The sequence below is a fragment of the Homo sapiens genome, chromosome 22 (genome assembly GCF_000001405.40).
Source record: "Homo sapiens chromosome 22, GRCh38.p14 Primary Assembly".
Taxonomy (NCBI): Eukaryota; Metazoa; Chordata; class Mammalia; order Primates; family Hominidae; genus Homo; species Homo sapiens.
The window spans coordinates 40,911,722-40,938,893 of record NC_000022.11 but is presented as its reverse complement, the minus strand read 5'-3'; the positions used below and the strand labels follow the sequence as shown (position 1 = coordinate 40,938,893).

At 42.9% G+C, this 27,172-nt stretch overlaps 1 protein-coding gene, 1 non-coding gene and 1 pseudogene across 2 annotated transcripts in view; all 3 read right to left on the bottom strand.

Moving 5' to 3' along the window:
- The window catches only part of XPNPEP3 (X-prolyl aminopeptidase 3), a 75,668-nt gene continuing 54,574 nt past the window's right edge, over positions 6,079-27,172 (bottom strand). Inside the window, exons 7-10 of the mRNA NM_022098.4 lie at positions 24,570-24,655; positions 16,381-16,561; positions 14,412-14,532; positions 6,079-12,625 (exon numbers count right to left, since the gene is read on the bottom strand). Coding sequence (NP_071381.1) covers positions 12,459-12,625; positions 14,412-14,532; positions 16,381-16,561; positions 24,570-24,655 — 555 coding nt within the window. The 3' untranslated portion in view covers positions 6,079-12,458. The remainder of the gene's footprint in view (positions 12,626-14,411; positions 14,533-16,380; positions 16,562-24,569; positions 24,656-27,172) is intronic.
- RNU6-379P (RNA, U6 small nuclear 379, pseudogene) lies at positions 21,048-21,151 on the bottom strand (annotated as a pseudogene).
- LOC124905157 (small nucleolar RNA U13) lies at positions 23,912-24,015 on the bottom strand. The gene has a single exon (XR_007068164.1). It is a non-coding gene; the product is annotated as a small nucleolar RNA U13 (small nucleolar RNA).

Sequence of the window (27,172 nt, the reverse complement as noted above, 5' to 3'; positions counted from 1 at the left end):
TTGACAGCCCCTGGCTCAAGCGATCCTCCCACCTCAGCCTCCTAAGTAGCTGGGACTGCAGGTCCGCGCCACCATGCCTGGCTAATTTTTTGTATTTTTACAAAATAAAGCAGACAGAGGTGGGAGGATTGCTTGAGACTAGGAGTTTGAGACTAGCCTTGGCAACATAGCAAGACTCTCCACCCTGTCTCTAAACTCTTTCTCTCTCTCTCACACACACACACACACACACATACACACACACACACACACTTCATTGAGTGTGGTGACAGGTGCCTAGTCCTAGCTACTCCGGAGGCTGAGGCTGGAGGATCACCTGGGCCCAGGAATTTGAGGCTGCATTCCTTTGAGCTGTGATTGTACCACTGCATTCTAGCCTGGGCGATAGAGTGAGGTCTTGACTCTAAAAGAGAACAAAACGGAAACAAAAAACCCCAGCTATTGCACTCCTGGCATGTATTCCAGAGAAATGAAGACCTCTATTTACATAAAACCTATGCATAAATGTTTATAGCAGTTTTATTCTTAATAGCCAGATATCCTTCAGTGGCTAAACTGGTAAATCCATGCCACTCTGCAATAAAAAGGAATGAACTATTGATATGCAACAACAAGAGGAATCTCCAGAGAATTCTGCTGAATTAAAAAAAAAAGCCAATCCCTCAAGGTTACACACTGTATGATGTGATTCTATTTACTTAACATTCTTTTTTTTACTTAACTTTTTTTTTACTTAACATTTTTTTTTTTTTTGAGACACAATCTCACTCTGTTGCCCAGGCTGGAGTGCAGTGGCGCCATCTCGGCTCACTGCAACCTCCGCCTCCCGGGTCCAAGCATCAGCCTCCCCAAGTAGCTGGGATTACAGGCACCCACTATCATGCCCAGCTAATTTTTGTATTTTTAGTAGAGACAGGGTTTTGCCATGTTGGCCAGGCTGGTCTCGAGCTCCTGACCTCGGGTGATCCGCCCACCTCGGCCTCCAAAAGTGCTGGGAATACAGGCATGAGCCACTGTGCCTGGCCAGCATATCTTTTTAAAAACAGGTGCCCCAAAATGGACATGATACTTCAAACATAATAATCTAATTATTGCAGGGGACCATGAGATTATAAACTCCTGGTTTTTGTTTTCAATTTTGTATTTTTTTTGAGACAGATTCTCACTCTGTCACGCAGGCTGGAGTGTAGTGGTGCGATCTCGGCTCACTGCAACCTCTGCCTCCTGGGTTCAAGCGATTCTCATGCTTCAGCCTCCCAAGTAGCTGAGACTACAGGCAGGCACCACCAAAATTTTTGATTTTTTTTTTTTTGTAGAGACGGGGTTTCACCATATTGCCTAGGCTTGTCTTGAACTCCTGTGCTCAGGTGATCTGCCTGTCTCGGCCTCCCAAAGTGGTGGTGTTACAGGCGTGAGCCACCGCGCCTGGCCAAACTCCTGCTATTTGATTTTATTCTCATTTCAGTTACTTAAATACAAATACTGTCAACCTCAAGCTGCCTTTAGTCCTCCTCTTCCTGTTGCCCACATGCAGATATAGTTCTTTTTTTTTTTTTTTTTTGAGACAGAGTTTCGCTCTCCTTGCCCAGGCTGGAGTGCAATGGCGCGATCTCAACTCACCGCAACCTCTGCCTCTTGGGTTCAAGCAATTCTCCTGCCTCAGCCTCCCGCAGATACAGTTCCTTTATTAAAAATTTTTATTGCCGGGCACGGTGGCTCCAGCCTGTAATCGCAGCACTTTGGGAGGCCGAGGCGGGCGGATCACGAGGTCAGAAGATCGAGACCATCCTGGCTAACAGTGAGACCCCATCTCTACTAAAAATACAAAAAATTAGCCAGGTGTGCTGGCGGGCGCCTGTAGTCCCAGCTACTTGGGAGGCTGAGGCAGGGGAATGGCATGAACCTGGGAGGGGGAGCTTGCAGTGAGCCGAGATCGTGCCACTGCACTCCAGCCTGGGGAACAGGGAGAGACTCTGTCTCAAAAAAAAAATTTTTTTTTTATTGCCGGGTGCGGTGGCTTAAGCCTGTAATCCCAGCACTTTGGGAGGTCGAGGCGGGCGGATCACGAGGTCAGGAGATCGAGACCATCCTGGCTAACACGGTGGAACCCCATCTCTACTAAAAAAAAATACAAAAAAATTAGCCGGGCGTGGTGGCGGGCACCTGTAGTCCCAGCTACTCAGGAGGCTGAGGCAGAATGGCGTGAACCCGGGAGGCGGAGCTTGCAGTGAGCTGAGATAGTGCCACTGCACTCCAGCCTGGGCGACAGAGCAAGACTCCGTCTCAAAAAAAAAAAAAATTATTGTGGCAAAATGTACATACAATTTCCCAATTTTACCCATTTTTCTTTATTTCAAATTTTTAAGTTCAAAGGGCACCTCTGCATGATTGTTACATGGGTAAATTGCTCAACATTGGAGTTCGGTGCGCAGATTATTTTGTCACTGAGGTAATGAGCCTAGTACCTGAGAGCTGATTTTTCGATCCTCACCCTCCTTGTTTCAGCCTTGAGTAGGCACTGGTATCTATGGTTCCCTTCTTTGGATCCATGTGTACTCAATGTTTAGCTCCCACTTATAAGTGAGAATATAATTTCTTTTTTTTTTTTTTGAGACGGAGTTGCGCCTTGTCGCCCAGGCGAGTGCAGTGGCGCGAAATCGGCTCACTGCAAGCTCCACCTCCCGGGTTCATGCCATTCTCCTGTCTCAGCCTCCTGAATAGCTGGGACTACAAGCGCCCGCCACCACGCCTGGCTAATTTTTTGTATTTTTAGTAGAGATGGGGTTTCACTGTGTTAGCCAGAATGGTCTCGATCTCCTGAACTCGTGATCTGCCCGCCTTGGCCTCCCAAAGTGTTGGCATTACAGGCGTGAGCCACCGCGCCCGGCCAGTGAGAATATAATTTTAACCATCTTATTTTGAGTCTCACTCTATCGCCCAGGCTGGAGTGCAGTGGCGCGATCTTGGCTCACTGCAAGCTCCGCCTCCCGGGTTCACGCCATTCTCCTGCCTCAGCCTCCCGAGTAGCTGGGACTTACAGGCGCCCGCCACCATGCCCGGCTAATTTTTTTGTATTTTTAGTAGAGACGGGGTTTCACCGTGTTAGCCAGGATGGTCTCGATCTCCTGACCTCGTGATCTGCCCGCCTCGGCCTCCGAAAGTGGTGGGATTACAGGCGTGAGCCACTGCGCCCGGCCAGAAAATTGAATAATATTTCATTGCATGTATACACGTTTTGTTTATCCATTCATCCATCAATCGATATTTGGATTTTTCTACCTTTTGGCTATTGTTAATAATGCTGCATTGAACATTGGTGTACAAATAACCGAGTCCCTGCTTTCAATTTTTTTTTTTTTTTTAGACTGAGTTTTGCTCTGTCGCCCAGGCTAGAGTGCACTGGCGCACTGCAACCTCTGCCCCCCAGGTTCAAGCGATTCTCCTGTCGCAGCCTCCCGAGTAGCTGGGACTACAGGTGCTTGCCACCATGCCCGACTAATTTTTTTTTTTTTTTTTTGAGACGGAGTCCCCCTCTGTAGCCCAGGCTGGAGTGCAGTGGCGCAATCTCGGCTCACTGCAAGCTCCACCTCCCGGGTTTACGCCATTCTCCTGCCTCAGCCTCCCGAGTAGCTGGGACTGCAGGCGCCCGCCACAACGCCTGGCTAATTTTTTTTGTATTTTTAGTAGAGATGGGGTTTCACTGTGTTAGCCAGGATGGTCTCAATCTCCTGACTTCGTGATCCTCCCGCCTCAGCCTCCCAAAGTGCTGGGATTACAGGCGTGAGCCACCATGCCCGGCCAAGCCCGGCTAATTTTTGTATTTTTAGTAGAGAGGTTTCACCATGTTGGCCAGGCTGCTCTCGAACTCCTGAACTCAGGTGATCCGCCTGACCCAGCCTCCCAAAGTGCCAGGATTAGAGGTGTGAGCCACCACACCTGGCCTCAATAAAATATTTAATAACATCTTTCAAGATGAGTATTTTTTTAATTGCTAAAATGTGAAATTTTAAAAATTAAAAAAAATTTTTTTTTGAGACAGAGTTTCGCTCTCCCAGACTGGAGTGCAGTGGCTTGATCTCGGCTCACTGCAACTTCCGCCTCTCGAGTTCAAGCAATTCTCCTGCCTCAGCCTCCCGAGTAGTTGGGACTACAGGCTCCCACCACCGTGCCCAGCTAATTTTGTATTTTAGTAGAGACGGAGTTTCACCATGTCGACCAGGCTGGTCTTGAACTCCTGAGCTCAGGCAATCCGCCCGCCTTGGCCTCCAAAAGTCCTAGAATACAGGTGTGAGCCACTGTGCCCGGCCATTTTTTTTTTGTTTAAGTTCCCGGATACATGTACACAACTGTGCAGAATGTGCAGGTTTGTTACATAGGTAAATGTTTGCCATGGCTGTACCTATTAACCCATCACTGAAGTATTAAGCTCTGCATGCATTAGCTGTTTATCCTGATGCTCTCCCTCCCCCTGCCCCTCCAAGATGAATATTTTAATAAAAATGTTTGTTCTAACCTTGTAGGCTTCCCACTTTCGTTTCCTAGGAAAATGTAGTATTTAGTGGCAATCATTCAGAACCAATGGGGTTTAAAAACTGGTGGAAATCTAGATCAATATTACATAGTGACAGATACTTTTTTTTTAGAGACAGGGTCTTGCCCTTGTCACTCAAGTGTAGTGGTATGATAATGGCTTGTTGCAGCTTTGGGCCTTGGACTCCTGGGCTCAAGTGATCCTCCCACCTCAACCTCCTAAGTAGCTGGGGCTACATGCATGCACCATCACACCTAATATAATTTTTTTGTAGAGATGGGGATCTAGCTATGTTGCCCAGGTTGGTCTTGAACTTCTGGCCTCCAGTGATCCTCCCACCTCAGCCTCCAAAAGTGCTAGGATTACATGCATGAGCCACCACATCTGACCAGTCACACAAATTTTTATGTCCAGAGTAATTCTTACCAGTATAATTCTAGATCTTATGACCCTAATTTAAATACCCTAAATGATATTTCAATTAGGGTATTTAAATTAGGGTCATAAGATGTAGAATTATTTTTCAAGAGCTCACTGAAATATGGAGAAGGAGAGGTGTTACCATTTGGTCATCTACTTCAGTGGCAGCTGTTGAGCACAGTGTCACATGAAAGACAAGGATGTCATGGAATTTAGCTAGAGTGGTTGGTGTTTCAGATGTGTAAGGGCTGCTAGCCATAGGTGTCATGGGGGCTCAAGACTGGGCCAGGGCTGCTTCCAGATGCAGCCTCAGACAGCCCAGATCTCTGCTTTACATATGCTGGATACTTACGACTTTTGTGGATGAAGTACTTCTTAGTGGAGTCTGTGAGCAGGGTGACTGTTCTAACAATACATGTATATGCTGCAAATTATAGCTTATTTTGAAATATTTGATATAAAATATTTCAACTGGATTAGAAATCCATTCCCATTATAAGAAATTTCATGTTTGTTGGTCAGCCATGGTGGCTCACTGTACATATTTTTCTTATCATAGTTAAAGGATGTATAATAATTTTTTTTCTACAAGTCATATGTACTTACCACTCAGCCCCCTCAAATTTGTTCCATTGTGCCATACAAAGTATCTTTTTGTGCCTGCCAGAACGTGAGAAATGTTAAAGGTACTCCTCATAGACAGTCTCAGATTTTAAAGATGGTTCCTAACAGGGAGAGAGAGATGGCTACACTTACGATTCATTATATGGTTGACAAAGGTCAAATATTCATAATTTTGCAACTTGATCCTATTTCCCCACAAAATTCATCCTTCATAAAATGTGCATGGCTACAGTTTACAGTCTTGAGTGTTATGGGGACTTTCTGGAGACCTTTCAGTCAGTTTTGTGCCAACCTTTTAATAGGCTGGATCAAATCCACCAGATTCTTCCTCTATAAGACTGATAAAATCATTTCAAGTTTGCTATCATGATTTTGTGACAGCAGCTAATGAATACTTTGTAAATTATTTTGTAAAACCAGATGGTCTCACGTTTATACTGTTTATACTAAATAGACCGTAAACTCTAGATTCTAAAGTAACACACACACACCATACCCCTCTATATTGTTTTATAGTTTTATTTTTTTTAAATGACAGTTACAAGTGCTTTTCCCTTGATGGGCAATGACGTAACTATTTTCAGTTATTAGTAATGCCTTAAAAAGTAACAGCATTTTGTCTAAACTGAACTTATATAATTGCACAAAAGTCATGGAAAGCATTAAGAAATGCTGGTAAAGATTGAAGTTTTCTCAGATTCTTGCGCAATTCCAAGAAGCCTTGATTCCAGTGGGTCCTCTGATTCAAACAATAATGATGCTCAAACTCAGTGACACACAGGTAGAGAACAGCAGCACAACCAGGAGAACCCATGTGGTTTGTAACAGTGAAATTCTGCTCTACTGTTAAGGTTTAATGATGCATTCATTCATCTTTTCATTAGGAGCATAAAAAACACCTCAAATTATATTTTCTCAGGCTTAAAACTTGTTTTGAGCTATGGATTCTACTTCAGGAAACAAAAATTAAAAAAAAAAAAACACAATCACACCATAAAAACCTCTTCTAAGCAGGTTCCTTTATGTTGCTACTGTCTGTGGTGCCTGCCTAATTTTCTAATAGACACACAAACGAATTACATTCTCAGCTATCAGACACTAGTTGAGGGACAGCAGATAGGTTCTAACTCAAATTCTGTTTTATTGGCAGAAGTTATTGGAAACACTGTTACAAAGGACTCCGAGGTCACCGCTGGACTGGTGAACAGCTCACTGTGCTTTCTTCTCCATCTCTGACATGGGAACAGGAGGGGGAGAAGCAGCATTTGTGCTTCACATTTCTGATCTCTGTATTATTAACAAAGCTGAACAGGGTGTGGGTGTGGATATTTGGAAAGACATAACAAAGGTACATTTTTCTGTTTTAATAAGTTGCAATGTCTTTAGATGGAGGTTTAACATGTTTTATTTGTATCTTAATCTCAAGACAGTATTTCTACGGTGAAGGTTTTTCCCTTTCTCACCTTACAAAAACGGAGAAAAAAGCAAGGTTTTGAAGGAAGATGCACACACAGTACTTTAAGTTACTCTCAGAAGCATTTTCCTAACGTGGATACTATGATTATGAGAGGAGGAGAGTTCTCACTCCAGTTTTTCTCTTCTTTTTTATTGAGACAGGGTCTTTCTCTGTTGCCCAGGGTGAAGTGGCACAATCATGGCTCACTGCAGCCTTGACCTCCTAAGCTCAAGCGATCCTCCCACCTCAGCCTCCTGAGTAGCTGGGACTATAGGTGCAAACCACCACACCTGGCTAACTTTAAATTTTTTTGTTGAGACAAGGTCTCTCTATGTTGCCTAGGCTGGTCTCAAACTCCTGGGCTCAAGTGACCATCCCTCCTTGGTCTCCCAAAGTGCTGGGATTATAGCTGTGATCCACTGCACCCAACTTTACTATAGTATTTATACTGTTGTGTTTCAAATAAAGAACACAGTCTGTTTCCTAATTATGGTGACAAAATAGTAATTCCTGAAATAAATACATAAAAGTATGTGACACTGGATATCCAGATATGTTTCCTTCATTTAGGTGGTATTGTTAATGATCTAACCATGTATCTTCAATTCAGGGAGAAAAATTCCAGTAGTAACATTTGAGTAATTTTTTTTAAGTTAAGATTTTTAATAGGAATGCCTGGTATATATATTATTTATTATACTTAGAACTAAAGGCTCGGCTGGGCACGGTGGCTCACACCTGTAATCCCAGCACTTTGGGAGGCCAAAGTGGGCAGATCACGAGGTCAGGAGATCAAGACCATCCTGGCCAACATGGTGAAACCCTGTCTCTACTAAAAATACAAAAATTAGCTGGGCATGGTGGTGCGTGCCTGTAATCCCAGCTACTTGGGAGGCTGAGGCAGGAGAACTGCTTGAACCAGGGAGTTGGAGGTTGCAGTGAGCCAAGATGGCGCCACTACACTCCAGCCTGGCGACAAAGCAAGACTGTCTCTGGCTGGGGGCCGTGGCTCATGCCTGTAATCCCAGCAGTTTGGGAAGCTGAGGTGGGTGGATCACAAGGTCAGGAGATCAAGACCAGCCTGGCCTGGCCAAGATGGTGAAACCCCGTCTCTACTAAAAATACAAAAATTGGGTGTGGTGGCAGGTGCCTGTAATCCCAGTTACTAGGGAGGCTGAGGCAGGAGAATTGGTTGAAGCCGGTGGGTGGAGGTTGCAGTGAGCCAAGATCACACCACTGTACTCCAGCCTGGGTGACAGAGTGAGACTCTATCTCAAAAAAAAAAAAGAACTAAAGGCTCAACACAAATAAATGATAAATGTTCAATGTGATGGATATGCTAATTGTTCTGATCTGATCATTATATATGTATCAAAACATCATTATTTACCCTGTAAATACGTACAATTATATGTCAATTAAAAACTTTAAAAAGGCTGGGTGCAGTGGCTCACGCCTGTAATCCCAGCACTTTGGGAGGCTGAGGTGGGCAGATTATGAGGTCAGGAGATTGAGACCATCCTGGCTAACACAGTAAAACCCCATCTCTACTAAAAATACAATAAACTAGCCGGGCATGGTGGCACGCGCCTGTAGTCCCAGCTACTCAGGAGGCTGAGGCAGAAGAATTGCCTGAACCCGGGAGATGGAGGTTGCAGTGAGCCAAGATCGTGCCACTGCACTCCAGCCTGGGTGACAGAGCGAGACTCCATCTCAAAAAAAAAAAAAACAAAAAAACCCCACAAAAAACCTTTAAAAAAAAAAAAAGCTAATATAAAGCCTTTACCTTAAAACTCTGAATTTATCTTATTCACTTTTTACCCTTAGAAGTTTATGAACTTGCAAAGGCAGTTGAAAACTATGGTAAGTCTTCAAGTCCCAGCTTTATTAAATGTAAGAGACCAGCAAACTTTAACCTAAATTTTAAGAATTTTAAGAAATATTTGGAAAATACTATTAGAAAAATAAAATTATTTGATATCCAGTAACAGTTAATAGCATTCTCTGTATTAAAAAATTACTAAAGGGAAATGGGTATGTCTGCGGCATGGCTGAGAATGAGTAAGATCACACACAGCTTATCTGCTCAACAAATCCTGAATATATCAGACAGCCCATAACATTGCTATGAGAAGTCTGATTCAAATGCTTAGCTGCTATAGTTAGTTAATCTGGGACTCAAAGGACAATATACCTGGGTCAGGGACTGAAAATCACCAGAAGAATTCTACAACAGCCTTTCTGCCTACCAATAACACCTATAGAACTTGACTGGAATCTAACCAGAAGTGTGTTTCATGTCCAAGTATGCTGCTATACATACAAGCTACCTAGGCTTTTAGCTAGAAAAGTTTAGACCATAGAAAATGATACAGGAGGTGCGGTGGCTCACGTCTGTAATCGCAGCACTTAGGGAGGCCGAGGCGGGCAGATCATGAGGTCAGGAGTTCGAGACCAGCCTGGCCAACACAGTGAAACCTCGTCTCTATTTAAAATACAAAAAAATAGCCGGGTGTGGTGGCAGGCGCCTGTATTCCTAGCTATTCGGGAGGCTGAGGCAGGAGAATCGCTTGAACCTGGGAGATGGAGGTTGCAGGGAGCTGAGGTCTCGCTATTGCACACCAGCCCCGGTGACAGTGTGAGACTCCGTCTCAAAAAAAAAAAAAAAAAGAAAAGAAAAGAAAATGATACAAGAAGAAAAGGAAATTCCTTATTCCTGGATTACAAATGAACAAAGGAAACACAATCCAAGGAAAGGGCTGTTGGGGGCACAGAGCCTGGGAAGTGAGCAGCCAGAGCTGTGGAGTTATTTCCCTCCCCTTTTTTTAAAAAGCTCTGGATTGAGAAATTGGAGGGAGGTGGGAAGGTGGGTATGGGGGATGGAGACTCCAGCTGTGCAGCCTCCATTCTGAGAGCTGCTTAGATAAGGTGCGCAAAGCCAGGCATTCCTAGGCTAGCACTGTCAGGATATGATTTGTATCACTTTTGTTTTCACATTATCTGTCTCTTGAGGAAGTCACTGCCTGTCTGCTTTTCACTCTGTACCCTGGGTTTCCCTGATAAGATAGGCAAACTTCCAGCATTACAGAGATTGTTAATCCCCTAGCTTGTGCTTCCCTAATACAAATTGTTTTTTTAAGAAACCCTCAAATTTGTGTTCTAACAATTGGCATGTTTTATACATCTTGACCTCATATCCAGGTTTAAAGGAGGTGAACACACTGGTTCTTAAAGCTTCCCTCTATCACAGACGCTCCTAAATAAGCTATCTGTGGTAATCTAGCCCTGTTCATCTTGCAAACTGAGTTGCTGTATAATTGTATCCAATGTTTGTGTTTAAAAAAATATGACTCTTACACCGGGCGCAGTGGCTCATGCCTGTAATCCTAGCACTTTGGGAGGCTGAGGTGGGCGGATTGCCGGAGCTCAGGAGTTTGAGACCGGCCTGGGCAACAGGGTGAAACCCTGTCTCTACTAAAATACAAAAAATTAGCTGGGCATGGCAGCGTGCACCTGTAGTCCCAGTTACTTGGGAGGCTGAGGCAGGAGAATTGCCTGAACCCAGGTGGTGGAGGTTGTAGTGAGCTGAGATTACGCCACTGCACTCCATCCAGCCCAGGCGACAGAGCGAGACTCTGTCTCCAAAAAAAAAAAAAAAAAAGAAGTATGACTCTTTACCACTGCACTCCCAGTGCTAGTATCAAAGAAAGATAAGAATCATAGGATATTTACGGGTACTTGGTAGATTCCATATTTTGTTTCTATTAGCACTAGAGGAAATCACAGAATGATAACAGGGGTACTTCTCTGAAAACTGGGCGCTACTACTGTGACTCTGACAGGGTACGTAAGTAGAGGATCTGCTCCTGCGCAGCACAACAGCTAAAAGGGTAACCTGTGAGGGTCAGTGCATTAAGAATCTATAGAGGGAGCAGGGATATCTGCGAAAGAAATCTTTCTTTTTTTTTTCTTTTTTTTTTTTTTTTTTGAGACGGAGTCTCGCTCTGTCACCCAGGCTGGAGTGCAGTGGCGCGATCTTGGCTCACTGCAAGCTCTGCCTTCTGGGTTCACGCCATTCTCCTGCCTCAGCCTCCTGAGTAGCTGGGACTACAGGCATCCGCCACCACGCCCAGCTAATTTTTTTTGTATTTTTAGTAAAGACGGGGTTTCACCGTGTTAGCCAGGAGGTCTCAATCTCCTGACCTCGTGATCCGCCCACCTCGGCCTCCCAAAGTGCTGGGATTACAGGCTTGAGCCACCACGCCCGGCCAGAAATCATTTTTTTCTTTTCTTTTTATTAATTTTTGAAGTCATCATTAAGAAATCAACTTTAAATTGAAGAGAAAAGATGGCAGGATGTCAGGATTTTATTTATTTATTTGTTTTTTTGAGGCAGAGTCTTGCTCAGTCACCCAGGCTGGAGTGCAGTCGCATGAGCTCAGCTCACTGCAACCTCCACCTCCCAGGTTCAAGCAATTCTCATGCCTCAGCCTCCCAAGTAGCCAGGATTACAGGCATGTATCATCACACCCAGCTCATTTTTGTATTTTTAGTAGAGACAGTGTTTCACCACGTTGGCCAGGCTGGTCTTGACCTCCTGGTCTCAAGAGATCCACCTGCCTGGACCTCCCAAAGTGCTGGGATTACAGGCGGAACCGCTGTGCCCAGCCCTGATGTCTGGATCTTTAGTATATACATATATAATTTTCTTTCTCTTCCATTTCCATCTTTATCAAGAATCTAAACACTTTCCAGGTCCCAGGCAACCAAATGGCAAGAAAAGCTCAGAAGTGTTTTGTTTGGTAGGTAGCTAGTGTTGCTGGAACCTGGACTGTGGCTGACTAGTAAGACTGCAGGACACCAGTGCCCCTGAGGGCTCATATGGCTCCAGTAGATATGCAGGATCTAGAATAGGTAGGGAGGAGTTACAGAAGGTATGTATTGGCCGCCCACAATCACCGAAAGATGAATTTTTGCATAGGCAGAGACCTTGGTAATTAGCTAAAAATACAGGCATCACACAAACTTCTTATGATATTGGGTTGATCTCAGCAAAAGTATAGAAAGGGAAGGACTTGAAAGAAGAAGTGAATTTTCTATATGTTTAAATGTGTTAACTGGAATGCATGGACATGTGTAACCAAGACCTTTATGTTTAAAAATTAAACTTGCTCTGATCATTAATTCTATAGAATTAATGTTACCAAAGCTGCAGTAACATACTATTCAAAAATTCATTTTCCCAGACTTCTAACTACTTAAAACAAAAAACCCCCCACACACAATTACATACATTCACACAGCTGCTATGCTCCCAAATGGAATGCATATATTAATGCACACACAGAGACACTCAGAAAGCACACGTGCAGGGCTGCCAGAAGACACCCATTTTGAACCTGAGGTGCATGTGGGCCGCAGTGAAGGTCAAGAAGCCTGGCTGCATATCTGTTCAATGTCATTCATCTCTTTGGGACAGTCTGCAGAAAGGATGAGAGGTGAGTCCTGAGTCACCACTACATCATCCTCAATTCGTACACCAAGACCCCGAAACTTCTCTGGGGCATCTTTGTCATCCTCTGGAATATAAATGCCTGTGAAGTAGAAAGAAGAACATGCTGTTCAGGAATGATAGTAACTGGGTGGTTTGGGGCAAGTAAGTTAACCTCTGGGTTAAAATTCCTTCCTCTGTAATACTGGATCTTTATGGTACCTACCTAGTAAAGCTGTGAGGATTAAATGAGATAATACATGTCAAAGTGGCTGGCATATAATGGTCAACACATGTTGGTATCATTACTAAAATTATTATTGTGGTTATCTTTATATTGGACTACAAGCTAAATACAACTACGGCAATGCTGATCATGATTCTGTCATATTCTAGTGGCTCAAGCAGGCCAATAAAGTTACTTAATTTAAAAGTACGTCAATATATGTGGGGGACAAGCAGATTATGTAAGTGCATTCTTCCCCTGCCTAAGAGTCCCTTGGAAAAAGAGCACCTTGCAAAAATAAAGACAAAATATATTTAAACTGTATTCAAAGAAACATTTAGAGATTATTAGCCTTGACAACTGGAAGCTGCAGAGACAGTCATTATAAGATTTAAATATATCTGATGTGTGTAATATAAAATACAAGAGAAACTGAAAGACTTTAATGTACATTTGGAAAAATGTAGGAACCCCAGGTACCCTTTCTAATCATGAAGTTAGACACATACCAGGGCTTTTTATATTAAACAAGTTGTAAACTTCCTCCACTATCCTCACAGATACTGCTCTGCGATTGAAAAAGAAAGATCAGCAAAGGAAAATGTAGCGCAGTCTAAGGAAGCGCCCATGTACCAAACAGATTGAACTAAATGATATATCTATGGCCACAGATAGCAATGTATGACTAGGTTCAAAGGGTGGCATAAAAGACATTTCACAGCCATAATTTATACAGAGATTAAAATACTTGAAATCTAAAATTTAGATCTGTTTTCAAAACAAAACCAGCATCAGTATTTAACCATCAACTCTGACAACATCAATCTTCACACACCATTGTGGTCACTGCTTCTCTTCAGAATCCTGCCCAACACCCAGGACCATTCAAGTTAGGTAACGTATCCGATTGTTAGCTTTCTCTGAAGCTTATGAGGAAGGCGATGGATACTAAGGAGTGGGATGGTGCTGGGTAGCTCAATGCAGCTTGCAGAGGTGTTGAAACTGAGAGCATAGTGTGTCTGCCTGTCTCTCTGCACACAAGCACCGGGGGCTTTGGAAGCTTGAGCAGCCCCCCACTACTAAATGGGAGACCAGTACAAACTGGCCCTGGGAAAGGCAGGATTAAAAAAGATTCATTTCTTAATATCTACTTATAGGAAGTATTCCCCATCTGTTGTTTATTGGAGGAGTCAAACTGAACAAATTGTGTGATATTAAATAAGAATACAAAAGATAAATCGAAAATAAAATTACCTTCCACACTGGACTTTTTTTCCTGTCTCTTCTAACTTAATTACATTGGTTGAGGTAAAAATAAACAATGTGGCTGGGCGCGGTAGCTCACGTATAATCCTAGCACTTTGGGAGACTGAGATAGGTGGATCACCTGAGGTCAGGAGTTCGAGACCAGCCTGGCCAACATGGCGAAACCCCGTCTCTACTAAAAATATAAAAATTAGCCAGGCGTGGTGGCCGACACCTGTAATCCCAGATACTCAGGAGGTTGAGGCAGGAGAATTGCTGAACCTGGGGGGCGGAGGTTGCAGTGAGTGAAGATCACACCACTTCACTCCAGCCTGGGCGAAAGAGCAAAACTCCATCTCAAAAACAAACAAACAAACAAACATTTACCTCATACTACTATTGTAACACCTCTCCTTACCGGGCTCAATTGTGATTACCATCCCAGGCTGCAGAGGGAGGGAACGGGGCATGTCTGGAGTGTCATGGACATCCATCCCGAGGTAGTGGCCAACATGATGAGGACAGTATTTTCGAGCAGCCTGGAAAAGATAATTGTCACAGTATCATTAGAGCAATGACCTCTTACAGGGAATGCTGGGCAAGTATAAATCAGTGAGATATGTGTTATTATCTCCCCCATGGTTCTGCCACTTCAGTTTAATCCCTCCTTGGGCTAATACTTAAAGGCACCTGAAAAACTGCGACCTCTTACATGCAATTCTGCCAATGGCATTCTCATCAATCCACATTTCCATTCCCGCTATTTAATATACTACATACATGCAGACTTGAGTAATTCCAACTAATGACTGTGGCAAATGAAAGTCTCTTTTCTTCAGTACCACAGGAAAGATAAAAATAAAAGAAAGAAAAAAAAATCTCTTTTCTTGGGAAAGAGAGGATGACTATTATCACAGTTCTCTTTCCAATGTTCGTTCACACATCCCTCTCAGGAATCTACTCTGGAGACCCTAAATAGCTCACAGCAACTTGTGGAGAAGGCACACTTTTGGGCACCTACCAGCTTGGGTATTTCTTTCTTTTTTTTTGAGATGGAGTCTTGCTCTGCTGCCCAGGCTGGAGTGCAGTGGTGTGATCTTGGCTCACTGCAAACTCTGTCTCCTGGGTTCAAGCTATTCTCCCACCTCAGCCTCCCAAATAGCCGGGATTATAGTCATGTACCACCATGCCTGGCTAATTTTTGTATTTTTAGTAGAGACAGGGTTTTACCATGTTGGCCAGGTTGGTCTCGAACTCCTGACCTCATGTGATCCGCCTGCCTCAGCCTCCTAAAGTGCTGGGATTACAGGTGTGAGCCACTGTGCCCAGCCAGCTTGGATATTTCCGTCAGTTAGTTAAAGATTTGTTGGCCCAAGCAACAGCCAATTTATAGCTTCATTTTTACTGATAACAGAAGTCCTAGAAGGCTTAACTTGTAGGTAGGAGATGCCTAATGGTCTATCTGACTTAGGCATCTAGTATCTTAATTTTAAAGCTGAGGTTTTACGTTTTTACTGAACACCATCACATTTTGGATGCAGAAAAAAAATTCACTAATGACATGGTCTTTGGGAATATTGCTGAAGTGTCAAAAATGTCACTTAAACAACAAATACCTTCTCCTTTGACCTACAGAATAACCCATAAAAGGATTAAAAGTTAATCTCTCTCTCTTTTTTTTTTTTTTAGACACAGGGCCTTGTTCTGTGGCCCGGGTTGGAGTGCAGTGGTGCGAACATAGCTCACTGCAGCGTTGAACTTCTGGGGTCAAGTGATCCTCCCACCTCAACCTCCCAAGTAGCTGAGACTAGAGGTGTGTGCCACCACACCTGGCTAACTTTTAAATTTTTTGTAGAGATAGGGTCTTGCTATGTTTCCCAGGCTTCTCCTCATTTCTTGTTTCCTTTTTCACCCTGTCGGCACCAGACTTCATTTTAAGTTTTCTGAATACTGAGCTAGTTATGCAGCATGTAATGAATCAGCATGTGCTGCCATCTTCTGGAAGAAATAAGTACTGACTTCCTTTGTTTTAATCCATGTTAAAGCTAAATCCCTTTTATAGATCACAAAGATGATTTCTAAATCTTTTCTTTTTACTTAAAAAACCCTGTGTGTGTATGTATATATATCTACGTATGTGTGTGTATATATATATGTGTGTGTGTGTGTGTGTGTGTGTATATATCTACATGTATATAGATGGGTCTTGCTATGTTGCCCAGGCTGGCTTCAAGCAATCCTCCTGCCTCAGCCTCCTAAACTACTGGGATTACAGGCATGAATCACTACATCTGTCCCATTTCTAAGTCTAATTAGCTTTATATAGGGTAAAAACCTAGCAGCATGCTAGGTGTTCTTGAGAACTGGGGTCAAGAGAAGTGAAGTACCTTGAAGGCATTATTTTCCTTAATGTTCTTCATGATCCCCAAGTCTTTAAGCTTCTGTCCTATCAGGGTCAGCATCATGCTGTAGATGTTCTCCAAGCTTGTCCCAGGGAAGCAGAGGGCCAAACAATCTCTTTGGATCTCTAGAACGGCTTCATAGAGTTCTGCCTGAGGTGCGGTGAACCTGGGGACGGGAAAACCAAAGAACCTGAACTTAGATAATCTGATATTCTAAGAAGTTTGCTACTAAGTTTGATTAGAAAAACCCCAAGATGCTGCTGTTGCTGGGGCACTGTTGATGTTTAATAAGTACCAATCTATCAATATGGCCAGGAGCTCAATCATGTCCTAGGTGCTCAGTAGGAAGGGCAACAATCCTTCAAGCTGGAGCAGCAACACAGTCTCTTCTTCAAATGGTCAGGAGAGACATGAAGTAGGGCCAAAAGAAGCACTGAGCCATGAGTGCAGTCAGTGGGCAGATGAGGCTCAGCCATGATCCTGTTTAATCCCTTACAGCATAGACTACCATTAAAAAAAAAGGCAAGAAAGCCTAGGGACCCACTTCTGACAGGTGAAGCAGATACCATGGGATAAACTAGTCAACATCTGGGCTACTAGTAATGTACTAGCACTTAAGTGTCTTTAGAATAACAGTTTCTTTAGCAATTACGAGATAAAAAAGTGACCTGGGATGATACATGATATGTATTCTCACATACTGTTGATAGGAGTATAAATTAATACAGCCAATTACATCAAAGGCCTTAAAGATGCTCATATAACTAGAGCTTATAATTCTACTCTAATATATCCAAAGAAAATATTTGAAATTCAAAAAAGCTGAATGTACTAAAATGTTCGCTGTAATTTTATAATTGTAAATTATTAGACAAACTCTAAATGTCCCCTAATAGAAGAATGCTTAACTATAATAGCATAAGAAACCCACAGCATAATGTACCCATACCCCAGCCCACCACAGTATTACTAAATAATCATTTTTGTAATAGTTTTTTTTTTTTTTTTTTTTAGAGACAAGGTCTCACTATGTTGCCCAGGTTGGTCTGGAACTCTTCAGCTCAAACGATCCTCCTGCCTTGGCCTCCCAAAGTGTCTTTATATACACTAAAATGCATACATTTGAACGGTACAATTTTGACAAATTCATGTACCAAACCTATTGAAGCTGGGAACAATGAACTCCTAAATTCTGCTGAGTCTTCGTTGCCAGCAGAAGTGGCCCTTCCACCCCCGTCTGAGAAGGTTAACCCTGTTTTGCCTGAAAACTTGTAGGTATGTCCCTTGAGGCAGTTGCCTTGGTTCTACTAGAATTGTAACTACACTCAAGTCCCAGCAGGCTCCAAGTTAGGCAGAAAGCTTGACCCATGAGGAGGTCCACTCCACACCAAAAAGAACTGCATGAGGGGCTGGGCGCGGTGGCTCACGCCTGTAATCCCAACACTTTGGGAGGCCGAGGCGGGTGGATCACCTGAGGTCGGGAGTTCGAGACCAGCCTGACCAACATGGAGAAATCCCATCTCTACTAAAAATACAAAATCAGCTGGGCATGGTGGTGCATGTCTGTAATTCCAGCTACTCGGGAGGCTGAGGCAGAAGAATCGCTTGAAACTGGGAGGCGAAGGTTGTGGTGAGCCGAGATTGCGCCATTGCACTCCAGCCTGGGCAACAAGAGTGAAACTCCGTCTCAAAAAAACAAAACAAAAAAAGAACTGCATGAGGTTTCCAATTTCCGAAAGACAAAAATCTGGGAATGTGGGTGGGAATGAATATTTATGGTGTGGGATAATGGTAGAAGGAACACAGTTGCATCAGGCAACTTTACTGATATGGGTCCACTAATCAGAGACTCTGGATTCAACGTTGCCGCTGAAGGGGTCAGAAAAGTTCTAACAGTTTGTTGCCTAGCTGGCTGAAACACAAACCAAAAGGTAACCCACAATACATAAACACAAATGCCACAACTGCTTTGGTATACTGGAGAAGGAATTCTGCCTCAAGACTATAATATAAACCCTGCCTGAGTTTGGACTGAAGTCTGCCCTATAGATTTTGGACTCAAGCCTTATACAGACCATTTCCATCTCCCCTGAAAGCCTCCTCATGTTCATTTCTTTTTTTCTTTTTTTGAGATGGAGTTTCGCTCTTTCACCCAGGCTGGAGTGAAGTGGTGCGATCTCGGCTCACTGCAACCTCTGCCCCCACCGGGTTCAAGCGATTCTCCTGCCTCGGCCTCCCAAGTAGCTGGGATTATAGGCGCCCACCACCACGCCCAGCTAATTTTTGTATTTTGAGTAGAGATGGGTTTCTGCCATGTTGGCCAGGCTGGTCTTGAACTCCTGACCTCAGGTGATCCACCTACCTTGGCCTCCCAAAGTCCTAGGATTACAGGCATGAGTCACCACGCCTGGCCCACATGTCCATTTCTAATCAATATCCCTACTTTCCGAGGCAAATGCTATTGTGATTATTTTGACCTTAGTTTGCCAAATCTAGAACATCATATAAATGGAATCATATAATATATACTCTTTTGTGTCTGGCTTCCTTCACTGAACATAATCTATGCTCAGTGAGGGTAGAAGGTTGTCTATGCAGTACATCCATGGTGGTGCTTCAATCAGTAACAAAAAACATTCGATCAGTAATTAAAATGTTCTTTTTTATTACTGAGTGGTATTCCATTGTATGAACAGACCACAATTTGCATATTCATTCTCCTGTTGATGGACATTTTGGTTGTTATACTATTGTGAATAAATGCTGTTATGAATGTCCTTGTGCAACCCTTTTTGTTGAGAAATGTTTTCATTTCTCTTAAATACCTAGAATTTGGCTGGGCATAGTGGCTCATGCCTGTAATTCCAGTGTTTTGGCAGGCCAAGGCAAGAGAATCGTTTGAGCCCAGGAGTTGCAGACCAGCCTGGGCAACATAGCGAAACCGTGTCTCTACAAAAAAACAAAATATTAGCCAGGCATGGTGGCACGTGCCTATAATCCCAGCTACTTGGGAGGTTGAGATGTGAGGATCGCTCTCTGCCTCAGCCAACCAAGTAGCTGAGATTACAGGCACCTGCCACCACACCCAGCTAATTTTTGTTATTTTAGTATGGACGGGGTTTCACCATGTTGGTTAGACTGGTCTCGAACTCATGACCTCAAGTGATCCACTCGCCTTGGCCTCCCAAAGTGCTGGGATTACAGGTGTGAGCCACTGCACCTGGCCTTTTTACAATGTACTTCTATTCTTCCAGCTGGATAATTTCTATTTATCTTCAAGTTTGCAAACTTCTGCTGTCTCCAATCTACAGTTAAGTCTACCTGGTGAATTTCCTGTTTCAGTTAATGTACTTTTCAGCTTTAAAATTGTCATTTAAAAATTTAAAAAATTTTTAATTGTAAAACAAAACACAGATATAAAAAGCCAAACAAATCAATCAAACATAAACCTTAAGAAATTATTCAGTGGCTGTATTAAAAATACAAAAATTAGCCAGGCGGGGTGGCATCTGCCTGTAGTCCCAGCTACTTGGGAGGCTGAGGCAGGAGAACTGCTTGAACCTGGGAGCCGGAGGTTGCAGTGAGCCAAGATTGCGCCACTGCACTCCAGCCTGGGCGACAGAGCAAGACTGTGTCTCAAAAAAAAAAAAAGAAAAAAAAATTATTATAAGGTGAATACCAGTCAGATAAAACAACAACAACAACAAAAAAAAAACCCACCAAAACTTGGCAGACTATCCCAGAATACCCTTCTATAGGTCCCAGAATAATGACAATCTTACCAACAAATATCCCTCGTCCTAACTTTTTTTTTTGAGATGGAGTCTCGTTCTGTTGCCCAGGCTGGAGTACAGTGGTGTGATCTCGGCTCACTGCGACCTCCACCTCCCGGGTTCAAGTGATTCTCCTACCTCAGCCACCTGAGTAGCTGGGACTGCAGGCACCCACCACCATGCCCAGCTGATTTCTGTGTGTGTGTGTGTGTTTTTAGTAGAGACAGGGTTTCACCATGTTGGCTAGGCTGGTCTCAAACTCCTGACCTCAGGTGATCCACCTGCCTTGGCCTCCCAAAGTGCTGGGATTACAGGCGTGAGCCACTGCACCTGGCCTAACTTTTTTATTTTGGAGACAGGGCCTTGCTCTGTTACCTAGGCTAGAGCACAGTGATGTGATCATAGTTCACCGTAACCAAAAATTTCAGGGGTCAAGTGATTTTGCCACCTCAGCATCCTAAGTAGCTGGGATTACAGGTGTGCGCCACCATAGTTGGCCAATTTTTTGTATTTTTTGTAGATATAGAGGTCTTGCTGTGTTGCCCAGACTGGTTTTGAACTCCTGGCCTCAACTGATCCTCCTGCGTCAGCCTCCCAAAACACTGGGATTACCAGTGTGAGCCACCATGCTAGCCATATCAGTTTATAGTCAGTTAATTGTGATTTTTTTTATTTGTGTGTACTGTTATTTACAGATTTTTTTTTTTTTTTTTTTTAGACAGAGTCTCACTCTGCTGCCTAGGCTGGAGTGTAGTAGTGCAGTCACAGCTCACTGCAGCCTCAACTTCCTGGGCTCAGGTGATCCTCCCACTTTAGTCTCTCTAGTAGCTGGGACTACAGGCCTGTGACACCATATCCAGCTATTTTTTTCTTTCATGATTATATATGGAATGCTTCACAAATTTGCATGTCATCCTTGCACAGGGGCCATGCTAATTTCTGTATTGTTCCAATTTTAGTATATGTGCTGCTGAAGGAAGCACTTTTAATGTTTTTTTGTAGAGATTGGGTTTTGCCATGTTGCCCAGGCTGGTCTGGAACTCCTGGGCTCAAGTCATCTGCTCGCCTTGGCCTCCCAAAGTGCTGGGATTACAGGATGAACCATAATGCCTGACCGAATTTATCATTTTTATTGATATATAATTCACTTATCATAAAATTCCTTCACTTAAAAAAGTGTACAATTCAGTGGTTTTAAGTATATTCACAATGTTGTACAATCATCACCACTACTAATTCTAGAAAATTTTCATTACCATCTCCTCCCAAATCTTGTATCTGTTAGCAGTCACTCCCTATTCCTTGTGTTTTTTAAAAATTTTAATTAAATTGTTTCCTTTTTTTACAGATGGGGTCTTGCTCTGTTGCCCAGGCTGGTGTGTACTGGCTATTCACAAGCTTGTTCCCATTACTGATCAGTATGAGAGTTGTGACCTGCTCTGTTTCTGACCTGGGCCAGTTCAGCCCTCCTTAGGTAATGTGCAAAAACCTCTAACTGGTTGCAGACACCTGATCAACATAGTGGACTGCAGCTTAGAACTCTTGGACTCAAGTGATCCTCCTGCCTCAGCCTCCTGAGTAGCTGAGACTATAGGTGCATGCCACTATGCTTGGTCATTGTGGGGTTTTTTTCTTTTTCTTTTTTTTTGCGACAGGGTCTGGCTCTGTCACCCAGGCTGGATTGCAATGGTGCAATCTTGGCTCACTGCAACCTCTGTCTCCTGGGCTCAAGCAATTCTCCCACCTCAGCCTCTTGAGTAGCTGGGACTACAGGCATGTGCCACCACGCCTGGCTAATTTTTTTGTAAAGACCAGGTTTCACTATGCTGCCCATGTTGGTCTTGAACTCCTGAGCTCAAGTGATCCTCCTGTCTTTCCTCCCAGTGTGCTGGGATTACATGAGGCACCTCGCCTGGCTGTCCTTTGTGTTTTAAAGATATTTTTATCACCCAAATATTCACCCCAAGATAATTTTCTTTGTGTTCATTTGTAATATATTTGATATAACTAAAATCTCTTTTAGTTAGTAGGCTCCTCCTCCACCTCTTTTCATTTCCTTGTAATTTATTTGTTAAAGAATCCAGGCTGCTTGACATACAGAGTTTATCAGTCTAGATTTTGGGCAGTTACAGACTGAATGTTTGTGAATTAGGAGGTAATTATTTTGAGGTAACAAATACTACCTAGTGTTTGGTTTTGTTAGCTAGTTGCTCTATGTTTATTTGACAATTTGGAAAGTTTGAAAAACTATCCTGCTGCTGCCATCTTCCCACAATCTCTGGTTCTTTTTTGTTTCTATTTCTCATTGAGATTCTCCATCTGTTTGCTCATTATGTCTACATCTTCCTTTAACTTATCTATAACAGCTACTTTAGAGTCTTTCTGCTAATTGGAACATTAGGATCATTTCTTTCTTTTTTTTTTTCCTTTGTTTGAGATGGAGTCTCACTCTGTCGCCCAAGCTGGAGTGCAGTGGTACAATCTCGGCTCACTGCAACCTCCCCTTTCCCGGTTCAAGCGATATTCCTGCCTCAGCCTCCCGAGTAGCTGGGATTACAGGTGCCCGCCACCACACTCAGCTAATTTTTGTATTTTTAGTAGAGACAGGGTTTCACATTTTGGCCAGGCTGGTCTTGAACTCCTGACTTCAAGTAATCTGCCCACCTCGGCCCCCCAAAGTGCTAGAATTACAGGCATGAGCCACTGCACCTGGCCAGGATTATTTCATTATCAGATTTTCTTGATTACAGGTCACAATTACCAGTTTCTTCTCATGTCTAGAAATTTTGTTAACTTGGATAGCTTCAAACTACAAACTCTGTTCTCACTGGGAAGCAACTAAAATCTCTGCTCAGTTTATTCTGCTTCTAGCTGCTCGTATTTTGCTGAGCCTCATGAGGCCTCCTCAGAACACATAGTTCAGTAATCAGCCAAGGATTTTTAAATATTCTGTATGCAGATTTTGGGGCTCAGAGTTTCCACAAGCCCTTCTCGTCAAGGATTTTCCTTCATCTTTCTGGCTATTCTGTCAGCACCTAAATCTATCATTTGATATCTTAAATCAATAAGGCTGTGGCTTTCTGCCGCCCAAGCTATGTGCATTGGGCAATGTCCTCAGGCAAAAAGCCCTTATCACCATTTTTATCCATTATAGTTTTTCTTTTTTTTTTTTTTCAGATAGAGTCTCACTCTGTCACCCAGGCTGGAGTGCAGAGTCCAATCTTAGCTCACTGCAACTTCCGTCCCCTGGGTTCAAGCGATTCTCCTGCCTTAGCCTCCCGAGTACCATTCCCAGGCTAATTTTTGTATTTTTAGTAGAGACAGGGTTTCACCATTTTGGTCAGGCTGGTCCTGAACTCCTGACCTCAGGTGCTCTGCCTGCCTTGGGCTCCCAAAGTCCTGGGATTACAGGTATGAGCCACCAGGCCTGGCCCATTATAGTTTTTTAAGAATGGACTTGTACTTGGCTAACACGGTGAAATCCCATCTCTACGAAAAATACAAAAAATTAGCCAGGCGTGGTGGTGGGTGCCTGTAGTCCCGCTACTCGGGAGGCTGAAGCAGGAGAATGATGTGAACCTGGGAGGTGGAGCTAGCAGTGAGCCGAGATCATGCCACTGCACTCCAGCCTGGGTGCCAGAGCGAGACTCCGTCTCAAAAAAAAAAAAAAAAAAAGAATGGACTTGTACAATTTCTGCCTATTTTTGAAAGCTCTCTGGTGCCTTTTATTTTGATTTTTTTCATGTCAGATGGGTAATGTGCTGACCTTGTAAGAAGGTTTGAGGGTAGCACATCTCATACCTGCACGTGAACACCCAATCATCACACTCATGAGCTACAAAGGGATCTCTAGTGCCTTTAAATAGTTATTTTTAATATTTTGTCCAGATTTTATAATTATTATCTATGGAGGATTAATCCAATCAAGCTTTCTACCATAACCTGAATATTACTTCTGTATTTTAAAAAATCAACTTTATTTTTTAAAAAATGTCTGTGAGTCAGGCATGGTGGCAATGTGCCTATAGTCCCAGCTACTTAAGAGGTCTGAGAAGAGAGGATCACTTCAGGACAGAGTTCGAGGCTGCAGTGAGCTATGATTTGGCCTGTGAATAGCCACTGCACCCCAGCCTGGATGACACAGCGAGACCCCGTCTCTTACCAAAAAAAAAAAAAAAAAAAAAAAAAAAAAAATCTTTGTTAGTTACCTAGGTGTTTCTATGTGCCTCATCCAGTGATATGATGAACAAAACAGTCTTAGAAAATAATAAGGAGCTTTGCAACCTAACTTGACCAGGAATGGACCTATAGTATTTCTTTAGTCATTCATTCCAAATATAGCCATATTCCAACTCATACTCCTAAGAAGCAGTGGGATACGTTACTCTGTAGAAGCCCTACCTGCCATTGACTGGCCACGTACGTGTGATGTCACTCACATAGCAGGAAGACTCACAACCTCCATCCAGAAGCACCATTTCCCCATCCTGGAACAAAGTAAGACAGGTTAAAGTGGATAAGCTCATGATTATAAGTTGTTTCTAGTAATCCAAAGTATGCCTTTCTTTTTTTTTTTTTTTTCTGAGACGGAGTTTCACTCTTGTTGCCCAGGTTGGAGTGCAATGGTGTGATCTCAGCTCACCACAACCTCCGCTTCCCGCGTTCAAGCGATTCTCCTGCCTCAGCCTCCGAGTAGCTGGGATTACAGGTGATTGCCACCACACCTGGCTAATTTTGTATTTTTAGTAGGGACGGGGTTTCTCCATGTTGGTCAGGATGTCTCAAACTCCCAACCTCAGGTGATCTGCCTGCCTCGGCCTCCCAAAGTGCGGGGATTACAGGCGTGAGCCACTGCACTTGGTCCTTTTTATTTTTTTAAAGCTCTAATTTAAAGGACACTAATTGCTGGTTTCTTCTATTTATCTACACAGCATCTAAACTTTTCAGATGTTTGAAACAGGGGGCATGTGAAAACAAAACAAATCTTTTCAGATGAATTCACCCTGCCACAAGAAAGTTGGCAATGCGTGGTGTTTCAGTGTATAGGCTTTGGAACCAGACTCCTTGGGACTGAATTACTAGGTGTAAACATTAGCACATCATAAATATCACTATTATCATTTTTTTTTAAGAAAAAAAAACCCATATGCCTTTGCTTTATGAAACAAGAGAAAAAAACAATCCTATATACGTTGGCATGCCAGTGGTATGCCGGGCCTTATTCAAACACAGCCACCCTTAAACACTTAACCTTGGAATATCACTTCCCTCTTTTTTTTTTTTTTTTTGAGACAGAGTCTTGCTCTGTTGCCCAGGCTGGAGTGCAGTGGTGTGATCTCAGCTCACTGCAACCTCCACCTCCTAGGTTCAAGTGATTCTCCTGCCTCAGCCTCTCAAGTAGCTGGGATTACAGGTGCCCGCCACCACACCTGGCTAACTATGTTGGCCAGGATGGTCTCGATCTCTTGATCTCATAATCCGCCTGCCTCGGCCTCCCAAAGTGCTGGAATTACAGGCATGAGCCACCGCGCCAGGCCCCACTTCCCCTTTTGCTCTCCATCATAATACATGTGGGGAAAGAAGAAAACTTTAAGTATATCTCTAACTTTCTAATTGTCATGTTATGCTGAAATTATCTCTCTATGCCCTTGAAGACAGAGTATATGTTATTCATATCTAAGTAAGTACAAAATTTGACAAACAGTAGAATAATGGGTAAATGATAACATACAGTAATGGCAACTTAAAATGATGGATGTGATTTTTCATTTTTGGCAAAAGATGGAATAAATTTCTGTTAGTAAACAACTAAATCCTGGATAAAATGTATTTTATGACATGTTGACTTTTTTTTTGAGATGGAGTCTTGCTCTATTGCCCAGAGCTGGAGTGCAGTGGCGCAACCTTGGCTCACTGCAATCTCTGCCTCCTGGGTTCCAGCGATTCTCCCGCCTCAGCCTCCTGAGTAGCTGGGACTACAGGCGCACGCTACAACGCCCAGCTAATTTTTGTATTTTTAGTAGAGATGGGGTTTCACCATGTTGGCCAGGATGGTCTTGAACTCCCTGGCTTCAAGTGATCCACCTGCCTCAGCCTCCCAAAGTGCTGGGATTACAGGCATGAGACACTGGGATGCCTGGCCCTGTATGTTTACTTTTTAAAGAAACCATCTAATGAGATTTACTACAGTAAGGAGAAAAGGCAAAAATATATCAAGAATATAAAAGGGTACATAACTATAAATAAAAAGTAGCTTAAAATGTAAGACAATACTGTGAGTAATTTAGACAAAATGGACAAAATGGTAGAAACATATAACTTATGAAACTGTCTTAGGAAGAGTAGAAGTATAAATTGACATAATCTCTTTGGAAATCTTTGGTACTATCACAGTTGCAGATATGTATATCCTATGACCCAGCAATTCCATTATTAGGTGTCCCTTAGACAAACTTGGCAACTTGTATACCAGGAAAAATGCACAAGAATGATCAAAGTGAGAATCTGGAAAAATCATAAATGTCTATCTATGAATATTTATCACACTAAGAAATTAAAACTGAGAAAATTTTATAATATTTATTAAATTCATTTAAAAATAAACCCATTACATGTTAACATAAATAACATTTTTATGAAAAAAACTATTTTTCTAAATATAAATAGAAAATTGGCACTGTTTGCATTTTCTAAATTCTTTTGTCTAGTGTCACAGAAGACAGCTGGAATCTCACACTGCCTGTGCATTCAGTCTTTTGTGTTATCATCATAAAACTTCTGGGATACTCCAGTGTACACTAGTAAGAGAATGTCTGTGTTCTTATGACAATATATTTAACTTCATGAACCACACTAACTGCTGCTCTATACTATAGGAATTACAATAGGACGGGCATGGTGGCTCATGCCTGTAATCCCAGCGCTTTGGGAGGCCAAGGCGGGCAGATCACTTGAGGCCAGGAGTTTGAGACCAGCCTGGCCAACATGGTGAAACCTCGTTTCTA